Below are 13,554 nucleotides of genomic sequence, written 5' to 3' on the forward strand. Positions count from 1 at the left end.
GCTGACAGTGCATGAAGACCCTCTGCAAATCCTGGAATCTCTCATTCTGTGCATGTCATCCCACTGTGGCACTCTCCTGCCACCTTACCTGCCCCTACCTCCCTGGACTCTTATCTCTGTCTCCTCCATTTACAGTGGCATCAGGCTCTGCCTGGGATCCCCCTCTTCCTCATGGCCTGGAAATTCTTCCTATACAGTAAGGTGGAGCAATGGTAGGGCTCATCTTGTATGTTTCCTATTTTGCATGGATCACCTTCCTTCATTGTCTAATGTCCAATGTTAAAAACTTGTTTCATAGATTTTGTCTGGTTTGTAGTCATTTCAAGTGGGAGGATAAATGCGGTACCTGTGATTGTATCTTGACCAGAATTGGAAGTCTGTTTGTTTGATCAGGAGTAGAAGTCTATGAGAGTTTTGATTGGTCCACAGTTGGTCCAGAGAGCATCTTCTGGTCACTACTAATCTCTGATCACTCCAAGGTGCACCCGAGAGGATTTAGGGCCCTCACAAAAGTTGCCATACTTGCCTAAATTTAGCTGTATGTATGGTAAGGAGGGCTCTGCTTTCATTTCTAGATTTATACCTGAGGAAAGCCAAGCCGTGCAACTTTCTTTTTAATGAATGTACATGTATTTTAAAAATCAAAATTATAGGCTGGCTTAATATTTAGTTTTCAGCAATTTCAGAATTAATCAAATAGTAGGTTTTGAATTAGCTGCTGAGAATAGTAAATAATTATCCTTACTGGTCTTTACATTTTTAAATCTTATCTTTGTAGGATATATTTTCTCATCAGTTCTTGGAGTTGATATATAGTTGATGTCTTTGTTTCTTATATATTTTGAGACATTGAGTAACTTATTAAATCATACTTGTAGAAATACCTTACTTTACATACTTCTGTTCTAAAACTGTATGTAAAAATCCAGTGAAAAATAGATTTTTGGTTTTGTTCTTCAGTGAAATTCTATGGTAATCAAAGGTATTTATTTTCAGATGACAAGTAACCGTGTCGTTTTCTCTGTGCTATATAGAACCATATTTTCTTTCATTGAATAAATAGACAGAAGGCAACTTCATCCATATCCCCAACTCTGCCTCATGACAGGGAACTTCTGATCATTGGGGCAGAGATTAGGATGAACATTAACACTGCGTGCCATTTGAAATGCTTGCCTATGTAAATAAAACTTACAAACAGAATTGACTGTATGATGAATGTTTTAACTACTTCAGAAGTTTTTAAATACTTGAAAAGGGGCTTATTTACACATAGGTGAGAGAGTTGCAAAATAATCACAGACCCTGTATTTCCTAAGAGTGATTTTTAAACTTTTTGGTCTCAGGACCCTTTTCTCCCTTTAAAAATTATTGAGGACTCTAAAGAGATCTCTGTCTATTGGTATTTATTGTATTAGGAATTAAAATGCAGATGTATTTAAAATATGTATCTATTCATTTGAAAATAACAAATATATTACATGGGTATTTTTTTACCACTTTGTCAGTTATTCTTAAGTGAAACTGGCTTTTCCTCCTCTTCTTCCTCCCCTTTTTCTTCATCTTTTTCTCTTACAGTGAGAAAAAGATGGTTTCCTATTTTGCATGGATCACCTTCCTTGCAAGGTGCATGGAAGTGCATGGCAGTGAGTGAGTGCATGGCAGAGAAGCATATGATGACAAATAGTACAGTTTGGTAGCACTGCTTGATTCATGCTAAGGAATCTGCAGTTTTCCAGCCATTGCTTTGATATAATTATTACAAATGACAACAGTAGAAAATGCACATGATGATTTTGAAATAATTTTGACTTCATGGGTCATCAGAAAGCACTTCAGGTATCTTCAGGGTTTCTTGGACCATTTCAGAATTACTCCTAGGCTAATGCTTTATGAAATAATTACAAATATTTATATTACATATTTAAAACATTATTCTTTGCTTTAATTTTTCAAACAAATTTTATTAAAGCATAAGAGTCATTCAGAAATACCACACAAATCATGAACATACATCTTGATCAGTTATCACAAGGTGACCACACCCATGTCACCACCATCCAGATCAAAAAATAAAACAAACCAGCATCCCAGAAGCCCCTGCTTGGTCCCCTTCCCACCATTACCTCTTTCCCAGAGCTAAGCGTTTCATTATGATTAGTTCTTCCTATGATTGAGCTTTATAAAAGTGGATTTCAATGGTCTGTATTTTGTGTTGGGCTTCCTCACTCCACATTGTGCTTGTAAGATTCCTCCATGTTATTGCTTGTTGTTGTAATCTATTCATCTTACTTCTCTATATAAATAATTATATTAATGATGTGAATAGACTATGGTTTTTATATCCATTCTACTGTTGATAGTCATTTGTGTCTCTTAGATTATTTGGAGAAAGGCTACTATGCACAGTGTTGTATATAATTTTTGGTATACACACCTACATATGCCTTTCTGTTGGGCTTATATTAGGGGTAGTTGGGCTGGGTCATAGAGTCCTAAGTTGTACATTTGTGCAGTGTTAGTGGATGCTGCTAAATACTTCCAAAGTATTTTAACTCAATTTACACTCCCACCAACAGTGCCTGAGAATTCAAGTTTCTTTGCATCCTGGCTAACATTTAGCATTGCCATCCTTTTTTCGATTTGAGCATCCTGGAATGCGTGCTGTGGTGTTTAACTTTTCATTTTCCAGATGACTAATAAAATTGAACATCTTTTTCCTATACAGGCAGTCTTCACTTTGCACAGGATTGCAGTTCTGTAAAAATTATCATGTAAAATGAAATTGACTAAAGCTAACTTAATAATCACTGGAGAAAATTACAATTGTTCTGGGTCCTTTAAAATTTTTTGTCAAAATATATTTTAAAAAAATAACTTCTCATATTGTTGGTTATAAATATGTAGGGAAATGAAAAAATTAGTAAAACTAAATCTTATTTAGTTCACTGTAATTTAAAGCAGTGGGAATTTGAGAATTAAAATGTTTTCTCTTTCTTTGTAAAAAAATTGAATAATAGTAGTTTGGATAGGGCTTGCCTTCTCATTGTGTAACTTATGGAATGGAGCAAGCATCTTTTCTATGCCTTGGCAAATTGTCATACTCCTTTCTAAGTTTGGATCAGATTTATATGGCTTATTCCTCCATACTTCCAATGTTGTGAAATATCTCTGACAGTTCCTTTAGTTTTTTGTTTTGTTTTCTTTTTCTGTTTTGAGATGGAGTCTCACTTTGTCACTCAGGCTGGAGTGCAATGGTGCGATCTCGGCTCGCTGCAACCTCCACCTCCCAGGTTCAAGCGATTCTCTTGACTCAGCCTCCTGAGTAGCTGGGATTACAGGTGTTTGTATTTTTAGTAGAGACAGGATTTCACCATGTTGCCAAGGCTGGTCTTGAACTCCTGATCTCAGGTAATCCACCCACCTCAGCCTCCCAAAGTGTGGGATTATAGGCATGAGCCGCTACACCCAGCCAGTTCCTTTAATTTGAAGTCTTTTGCTGGAGTCGCTTCCTCTGGGACATCTTAATTCTTTTCATCACAGCCACTTTCTTCATTTACATGGATAACTTTGCCTTCTTGGAGTTCTTCTGGCTGCATATCTGGAGTCTTTACAATGGCAGTAGTGTCAACATTCCTGAGGTCAACTATTTCTTCTCTAATTTTATTTATGTTAAATTTTGATTGTACTTCCAATAGTATTGCTTTTTTCTCTCTTCTTTTTTTTGACCAATTTCCTCTGTTGATTTTCCGTTTTTGTAGAACATCATGTGGGTTTATCACTGGGATACAAGAAGGCAACACAACTACATGCTTTGCTGTCTGTGCATGCACTAAATAAAAGACACACAGTGACTAATCAATGACAGACTTTGAAAGAAGCGATGTCATAGGTCACTGATCCTGATGCACAATTATTATTTACCTAGTGATTTGTAGGTGGAAAAGATACCAGCAAAGTTTTTGTTTCATACAATTATAGTTAATACACCGTGGCAACTGATATTTGCGTTGTGTTTGGTGACTGACAAAATTTGTGTATATCAAAGCCATGCAAAATGTGGACTACCTGTATTTATTGACCGTACGGATGTACTCTTTTGTAAAGTATCTATTCATATATTTTGCCGTTTTTAAAACAGCAAGTTTTCGTTTTTTATAGATATATAAGGAATTTTTGTATATTATTGGAATTAGTATTTCTTTGGTCATATATTGCAGGCATCTTCTCTGACTCTGTGACGTGTTTCTTCAGCACTCTGTGGTATCTCTCAATATTATGTAGTCCAATTTATAAAATTCTTCATTTATAGCTAGTGGTTTTTACGCTGTGTTTCAGAAACCTTTGCCAGTTCCAAGGTCACAAAGACATTCACTTCTATTATCTTCTAAATGCCATATTGTCATGCCTTTTATATTTAGAATTATCATATGGAATTATTTTTTGTATTGATATAAGGTAGGGAACAAGATGCACTTTTCCCCATATGGATATCCAGTTGACCTAGTCTCATGTATTTAAAAGATCATCCTATCACTACTGCTGTGCCATGTCATACCAGTACATGGTATAAGTCATGTGTCCATATAAGCATGAGTCTGTTTCTGGTTCCTTTATACTGTTTATTGGTATATTTTTCTATGCTTTCCAATACTGTGCTATTTTAATTCCTATAGCTTTTTAAGAAGTTTTGGTATCCATTATAACAACTCTTTTTTTTTTCCTCACTCAACGTATTTATTTAAAGGAAAAAGCTTGAGAAGTCTAAGGCAGCATTTCCAAAAGTATATTCCATAATCATGGCCATTAAACAAGAAGCTTTCTAAGCTAAATATTTGGCTTCTCAGAACAAAACAACCTTCTTCACTGTGGGTTTTTCAATCTTTTTATTATTATTATTATACTCTAAGTTCTGGGATACATGTGCCGAACGTGCAGTTTTGTTACATAGGTATATTCTTTACAATATTTTTGGCTTCTTGTAATTCCATGGAAATTCAGAATCAATCAATGTGTTGATTTGATAAAAATAACATACTGGAATTTTTATGGGTTTATATTGAATTTGTAGATAAATTCTGGGACAAATGACATCTTTATGGATGTATGTATATATGTGCACACATGCACACATTTTTTAAACCCTACAAGGCATAATTACTATTCATTTACACAATCAGTATTCATTTAGATATATTCTCATATTTATTATTTCTGTTTTACTTCATTTATCCTCCCTCCCTCTCTCCCTCCTTCCCTTCCTTTCCTCTCCTCCTTCTTTTTTTTTTTTTTTTTTTTTTAGGTTATAGAGTCTCACTCCATTACCCAGGCTGGAGTACAGTGATGTGATCTTGGTTCACTGCAACCCTGACCTCCCGGGTTCAAGTCCTACCTCAGCCTCCCGAGTAGCTGGGACCACAGACATGCGCCACCATACCCAGCTAATTTTTGTATTTTTTGAAGAGATGGGATTTTGCAATTTTGCCCAGGCTCAAACTCCTGGGCTCAAGCAATCTGCCCACATTGGCCTCCCAAAGTGTACTTCATTCCCTCTTCATACTTCTATCTGGAATCATTTACCCCTGACTGAGGAAGAACCATTAATCTTCTTTAATGCAGACTTCTGGTCAAGTCTATTAGTTTTTATTTGTGTTAAAATGTTTTTATTTTCTCTTCATTTATAAAGGATATTTTATTTATGAAGGATGTTGTTACACCTGTAGAGTGTTTTTGGCTGTCACTCACTTTTAGCAGTTTGAAGATGTAATTGAGTTGTCACCTGGCTTGCATAGTTTCTGCTGAGAAGTCAGCTGTAAGTTTTATTGCAGCTTATTTGAGGGTAACGTGTTTTTATCCCTTCTAATGGCAACATGAAATAGTAATGTGACATGTATAAGTCTGATTTTCCTGCTTGAAATTCACTGAACTTGGAACTGTGGTTTAAGTCTTTCATCAGTTTTAGATGAAAATTTCAGCTTCACCTCTTCATATATTGTATATGTTTCTTCTGGGCCATTTTCTTTCTCCTCTCCATCTGGGACTTTGATTACATATATGTCAGAACTTTTCACAGGGTCCCATATTCTCTTTTTCTCTTTTTTATGTCATTTTTGACTCTTATTTCCTTTGTTTCTGTTTTCCTTCTTTCTTTTTTTTAGTTTTGAGTTCCTGCTAAAATTCTGCATCTTATGAATTTCAACTTTATTAATCTTGGTTTTTAAAATTTTATATATGATATCTAAAATCTGTCACTTTATACTGCCTCTTTCTCTTGTGTTCACTTTTTGTGTTTTTCTTTTAATTTGCTTTTGTCACCTAATATTCTTGGTAATTTTTTATTTATTGCCAAATATAGTGTACTAAAATGTAGAGATAATTTGAGATTCTCAGTGATAGTTATCTTTATCCAAAATAGGCATACTTTTATTTCAGGCAGCACTTAGGATAAAGGAGATTGCTTGAATACAAAGAGGGATTGAGTTGATTTGAAATTTGGTTTTAACCTTGCGAATGCTGGTCTATTTCTAGTTCATTCTTAGTTTTAGCATAGAGCCTTTATTGGGAGAGGTTCTCACCTGAATACCAGTGGACCTTGAAGGCCAGTTTTTGTTATTCTTGGTTTTTAAAACTACCAGAAGTTCTTTGCAGCTTCTCAGTTTCCACTCAAGTGCCTCAAAGGAAACCCTGTGCTAGCTATCAGGCTCACTTCTCCAAGCTTCTCTCATCTTAAGGATTTTGCTTGTTAAGTCTTTGCTGCTTCATTAACTCCCCAACACTTAAAATGGAAATTTTGGGGGTCCAGATTTTCAAGGTGTTCCAGGTGGGACACTTTTTGTTTGTAACAAATTAGTCCATCATCACCAAAGGTCAAAATCCTGGCTTCATTCTTTAATGAGAAAACTAGTCAGAAACCTACTCTATATAGTTTGTGAAGCACCAAAAAGCTCTCTTGTTTAAGATGTCACTGTAGCTCACTGGAGATCCTTTTTAGAGTTTTCAATGTATTAAGTAGTGGAAGTATGTGTTTCTCTTGAATTCTTTGAAGTAGGCTCTTTTCAGGATGTTTTCCTGGTTTGGTTTCTTTGGTTAGCCTTTGAATCAAAGGAGTAGAGTTTATTGAAAGTCCTAGAAAGTTTTAATAAGATGGAAGTCAGCAGGAAAGAGGGGCAAGACAAAATCCATTCATGGGCCAGTAAGACCCAGCATAAAGGTCACAGGCAAGAGAGTGCAGCCAAGGTATTCAAGGCCAGGGGTTTGGCTTGGAAAGTGTTGAAAGGTAAATGCAAACTCTATTTACCATTACAGTTATTCTAAATTAGTTTAGTACTAAAATGGAAAGAGTCAGCTCAGAAAGAATGGGCTTCAGCCATACTTCCAAAATATACCAACTCATTACCTTGGAAAATCTAATGAATCTCTCTGAGTATCATTATCCTTATATGTAAAATGGTGAGAATATCTTACTTTGCTAGTAGGAGGATTAAAAAGACAGTGTATATAAAACATAGAAGTTATTAGGTACTTATCTCTGCTAACTCTTCCCTTTTCCCAGTCAAAGGAACTGAAAAGGAAGTGACTAAAGGGGCATTTTTTTCTAGGTAGTCAGATGTCTTTGCAAGTGCATCTATATGTTAACTCATTAAAAATGGCAGCAATGTGATTTTGGAAAGAGAGAAGCTATGTTGGTGCTTTAGGAAAACAATCACTTATTGTAAAAAACAATTCTGTTTCTTGATGCTGCAGGCCTTTCTAGGAAACAGATATGGTGAATGATTTCACTCTTTGTTGAAATTTAACTGGGTGTGGGGTGGGATATGGCAGATTCACAGGGTGATGCTTGTGAAATTGAATTCAAAATCTTTTAAATTTCTTTCAACTTTTAAAAAGTAATTCTGTCTGGAAATTAATGTATAAAGAGTGCTATAGTGTTATTTTGGAAAAAAATTTCAAAGAGAATTCTGTTTCCTTGACGGTTAATAGTTTGGCTGAGGATCTGCACAGTGGGGCCTATTTGAAGACATTAGAAAATATCTGTTGGTTTAAAAAGTTCCACCCCACAGTAAAAAACAGTGCAATTTTGAATCAAAATGTTGTTGGAGACATGTTATAAGTAAATATAATATAATCACATATAACAATAAGTGAAATGGTTTGATTACAAGGAAAATTAGGATATCTATTTTTAAATCTAAATTATAATTCTTCAACCATACAAACCAGTAACTATATTATACTCTGTGGCACTTCACTTGATACATTTATTACTTTTTTAAAAATAGAAAACTTTAGCTATTTATTTAGCTACTTGTAGGCTAATGCTGACCTATGTCATAAATAGTTTAAAAAAATTTTAATATATCTCTTTAAATCCCATTTCTAGGCTGGGAGTGGTGGCTCATGCCCATAATTCCAACACTTTGGGAGGCTGAGGCAGGCAGATCACTTTAGGTCAGGAGTTCAAGAAAAGCCTGGCCAACTTGTGTCTACTAAAAATGCAAAAATTAGCCGGGCGTGGTGGCGGGCGCCTGCAGTCCCAGCTACTTGGGAGGCAGAGGCACGAGAATCACTGGAACCCAGGAGGCAGAGGTTGCAGTGAGCCGAGATTGCACCACTGCACTCCATCCTGGGTGACAGAGTGAGACTGTCTCAAAAAATAAATAAATAAATAAATCCCATTTCTAGAACAACAAAGTATGGTGGAAATTCAGAATGAGAAGACTTTGATTCAGTTTTTTTCATTCTTCTTGTTTCAATCTATGTGGTTGAGCAAAGCAGTTAACTTCTCTGAATTTTATGTTTCCTCTCTGGAAATGAGAGAATTGGTCTAGAATTCCAGATGTTGGCATTCACCATCTGACTCAAATAATAATAATTTAAAAACACCCATACAGGGTTTAACCCAGAATAAGTGCGATTTCTTTTAGCACGGAATCTCCAGATGGTGCCTTTGTTTCCTTCCAGCTCTCGGGTTTTTTTTTTTTTTTTTGGTGGGGATCGGGGGTGTGGGGGTGGTGGGATGGAGTTTCACTCTTGTTGCCCAGGCTGGAGTGCAATGGCACAACCTTAGCTTACTGCAACACCCCCCTCCCGAGTTCAAGCCATTCTCCTGCCTCAGCCTCCTGAGTAGCTGGGATTACAGGCAGGTGCCACCACACCCAGCTGATTTTGTATTTTTAGTAGAGACACAGTTTTGCTATGTTGGTCAGGCTGGTCTTGAACTCCTGACCTCAAGTGATCCACCTGCCTCGGCCTTCCAAAGTGCTGGGGTTACAGGCGTGAGCCACCATATCCAGCCTTAGGTATCTATTATTTAGAGAGATATTTAACTCTATTCCCTAGCAGAAGGCAACTACTGTTTTTCTCAGTGTATTTTGATTGTATTCAGTCATTAATTAATACAAAAATATCTTCTTTTCTCCAAATTATAGATATATATACTAAACATTTATAATTTTTTTCAACTATGACTTTCAGATATACCAAGAGATCGTTTGTTACCTAAAAGAGTAATGCTTGACTTATAAAGTGATAAAAATATGTATTTAACAAACTCTGGTTTAATGTAGCAGCTTGGGAAGCTACATATTTACTTTGCTGAAGCCATCATTACTCAATCTTGCAACTCCTCTTTTGGAGTCGTCTGTAAGCTTAGGCAGAAAGCCACCAAAGCAACTATTTCCTTGCTTTGATAGTGTATATCTCAATCTTGACCCCAGATGATATTTTTTGACTTGCTTATTTGAGACTCTTTTATTATTCTCATTTCTGAATGACAACACTGTTCAGAAATCAAGGCCAATGTCACAGGAAGTTTTTCCAGTCTTAGCTTGTTCTTTGCAGATATTTAAGTACTACATAAATCTTGCTAAAGAGAATGGACTGAAGGTTCTGAAAATAATTCAGAGGGAATTCAAAACACTTGCAATTTGAAGAGTTACAGCCTCATTGGCCTTCAGCTATAAGTAGGATGTATGTGACACACACACACACACACACCCCCCTGATTGAGTGCCAGGTACTAAACATGATTTGTCCACATTATCTCACTTGATTCTTCCAATAACTATTTGAGTGATTATTTGAAGTGGATGATAACTTATTGAAATATGGAAATTCTAGTGTAGATGTTTAAAAAGGAACTTTCCATACTATAGAGCCACATCTCATATGTTTCTTCATTGTTCATGAAGTTCTCTAGAGGAGAACATCTATGACTGTCTTTAGTATGGTGTATTTCAACCCTGCGCAACTCTTACAGTAAGTACCTCTTTTGTGTTGTAAATCTTAAATCCCTCATGATGCAATTAAATAGAAATGTTCATCTAATCCTGGTCTTGATACAAGGAATTGTTTCCTCTTACACATAAAATTCCCTGTAGAATGTATTTTCTCTTTTTGCAGGGCCTCATTTTCTTCTGTCACTGGAGCCATCATTTATTTAGCAGCTTTGTTAAACAGAAAGGGGTCTGTCCTGCGTGTGCAGTCTTTGGTAAGTCTAGATAAACACCAAGAAGGTCTTACATCTGCATTACTATGAAATGTCCCTGGTTATTAGTTGATATCACCATAGGACACAGGTGATCGTTACACTCAGTTGGAGAAGTGCGGCCCCAAGTCCATTCTCTAAATCATGACTACTTGTAGCAAACACCTTTTAAGATGCAATTGGCCAGTGACACAAGTGTGGTCCTGTGGTCTCTACAATGCAATCAGTCAATTTTTAGAGAGGCTGCTCTCTAGGCAACAGCCAGAATGTTGGGGCCTTTTGCGATTCTGATCCACTAATAAGTGTTTGCTGTTGACAAATAATTGAGATTGCAGGTTAGGTTCACAAAAGTACAACTCAAAAAATAATTATGTTAAAATATACCTGCAGAAATCAACCCAGATTAAGTGCTGTCTCTTTAGCACACAATCTCCAAAAGTTCAGAAAATCATCGTATTGGGGAGGGAGTGGGGAAAGATGACAGAAAAACCCGTCACCACTTACAAGAGCTTCATTTGGTTTTTAATCAATTGAAGGACTTTGCAGAAGATGGTACTTGTTAAATTGATCTCAATTAAAATCAGCCTGAGTGTGCGCTCTCTCCGACAATAGCTACACAAGGCCTGGGCCAGGAGTCTTTCAATTCTGCCCCTATGAGAGCACGAGCACCTGTCTGGACTACACTGGCACCTTTCCATTTTTTAATTTTCACCTCAGCCTTTTCTTCTAAGCAGTCTTTGACCTCCATGGCATCCCTAACGAAGTCCTTTCAGTGTGTGTGCCCTTCTTCCCCACATTGTAATGGAGGTGCGGTGAGGAATGGGAGGTTGCTTGCAGTCTTTCACCTCTGACAGCAGGGCCTGCATCCTGCACGCAGCTGTCAGGACGCTGACAGGGCTGCACAGTGGGATAATTGGGTACTTGAGGAAGATTCATAAGGCCGTATGCTGCAGAGCCCCACGTCCTGCCCTGGGGCAATAAGGGGCAGAGAGGGGAGGAGAGAAAGACAAGACTCCAGTGGGGGCTAGAAACCTAGCCTTGATAAATAATAATCTATTTATAACAGGGAATAATGAAGACTTTGGTTCACAATAAGGCCACAGTTCCTGCAAGTGGAGGAATGATGTTTAAGGATTTCAAGTTTGAATTCCGTACAAGGTGAACCACAGCTAGGTTAGTGAGAGAATCAGAAAGATTGGGGCCGGGCGCGGTGGCTCATGCCTGTAATCCTAGCACTTTGGGAGGCCAAGGTAGGCGGGGGATCACCTGAGGTCAGGAGTTCAAGACCAGCCTGGCCAAAATGGTGAAACCTCATCTCTACTAAAAATACAAAAATTAGCCGGGCGTGGTGGCGGGCATCTGTAATCCCAGCTACTCGGGAGGCTGAGGCAGGAGAATCGCTTGAACCTAGGAGGTGGAGGTTGCAGTGAGCCAAGATCACACCACTGCACTCCAACCTGGATGAGAGTGAGACTTTGTCTCAAAAAAATTGGGAAGATCCCGTCCAAGAGGAAGGAGTGTCACGTGGAGCAGTTCTTTTTATACCAGGATGTTGTTTTTGTTGTTTTTAATCAAAGCAAGCCATCTGACAGCTCATTATGAAGAGACAACAAGAAGTGACTTTATTATGATAGTGTGGAGTTGGTTCCTCTGCAAATTAAAGTTCTTTGTTCACTTGCGGCAGTTTGCTTAGGAAACATCTGGTAAGGGGTGCCAGGTGGGATAACATTTTAGAAGTGTAATGTGATAACAATTAACCTATCACTCCTTTTTCTCATATTCTCTCTTTTTCAGTTTTGTTAGATAGATTTATCATCAAAGGTGATCAAGACAAAAATCTTTCAAGTGATTTCCTTGTGAAGTGGCCCCTCATGACTGGCATAATCTGTTACAAACTTATTGGGATTTATTTTCCCAAATAATTATGATTTTGCTCATGGGATGTGATAGGTTGGTGGTGAGTTTGCCTTCTTCACATATGAAAGGGCAGAATTCTTCATCAAACATAAAATTCTACTGGTGAAAATAATAATGTTGATTTATCCAGTCAGCATATGCTATTATTAAATATAAGATAAAAATTCAACTTTGGGAGGCCAAGGTGGGTGGATCGCTTGAGTCCAGGAGTTTGAGACCAGCCTGGGCAACATAGGGAGACCTAGTCTCTACAAAAAACAAAAAAATTAGCCAGGCACGGTAGCTCAAACCTATAGTCCCAGCTACTCAGGAGGCTGAGGTGGGAGGATTGCTTGAACCCCACAGGTCAAGGCTGCAGTGAGCTGTGATTGCACCACTGCATTCCAGCCTGGCGACAGAGCAAAACACTGTTATAAAAAATCACATAGGATCAGAACTATGAAATAAGACTTTTTTTCTGCAGTGATATTCTGGAAATTCTGAACTCATATCAATAAGCAGTCAATAAAAGGTCTTTTGATTACAAGACTATATATTTGATAATCTGGAAACTGATTTTGAAAGGCAGAAACTAGCATGAGTAAATAACAGCCCATAATATGAAAGTCTCATACCCACTTCAAAGCTCTGTCATTGTCTGAATTTTGAAGGCTCATCCCATCTGTCTTCTATCTCAGGTATTTTCTCTCCTTCAGGTTACTCCATGAAAGTCACAGCGTATCTGTCCCGTGAAACAAATATGTGATATCTAGGAATTTAAAATAAAGATGTTACATTTCTCTTTCTTGGACAATGAACAGAAATTTCTGTGACTTGTTGAAATACTGTTTTCTCATTGTTTAATTAAATATTGTCAGATAAATTTCCCCACTGGAAATTTTTTTTTAATTAATGAGATCTGCTTTGAGTTTCTATGATTTTTTTTCCATAAAACCCTCTAAAAATCAAAAGCCTTCGTTACGCTTAGGCCAACCGTGCATATGTGTTTAAATTATTCCTTATTTGGGATGATAATTTAGGTGATACCATAGCTTTTGCTTTTTGACAGCTAGAGAATGCAGGCCTAGCATATTAAGTGGATCAGGATATTAAATAACTAAATGATCTTATACTGCTATTTAAAGTACTTGTCAGTAGAAATAAAGAATATG

The 13,554-nt window shown here is 37.1% G+C and overlaps 1 protein-coding gene across 1 annotated transcript in view, besides 1 other annotated feature; it reads left to right on the forward strand.

Moving 5' to 3' along the window:
* The window catches only part of SAMD5 (sterile alpha motif domain containing 5), a 445,991-nt gene that overhangs the window by 173,309 nt on the left and 259,128 nt on the right, over positions 1-13,554 (forward strand). The gene's annotated exons all lie outside the window — the stretch shown is intronic.
* Positions 7,482-7,682: a silencer, noted in NCBI's record as "peak6203 fragment used in MPRA reporter construct". NCBI's record gives its function as "represses an SCP1 promoter by STARR-seq MPRAs in K562 erythroleukemia cells {active_cell/tissue: K562}" and the evidence as "EXISTENCE:reporter gene assay evidence [ECO:0000049][PMID:32103011]".

The sequence above is a fragment of the Homo sapiens genome, chromosome 6, assembly GCF_000001405.40.
Source record: "Homo sapiens chromosome 6, GRCh38.p14 Primary Assembly".
Taxonomy (NCBI): Eukaryota; Metazoa; Chordata; class Mammalia; order Primates; family Hominidae; genus Homo; species Homo sapiens.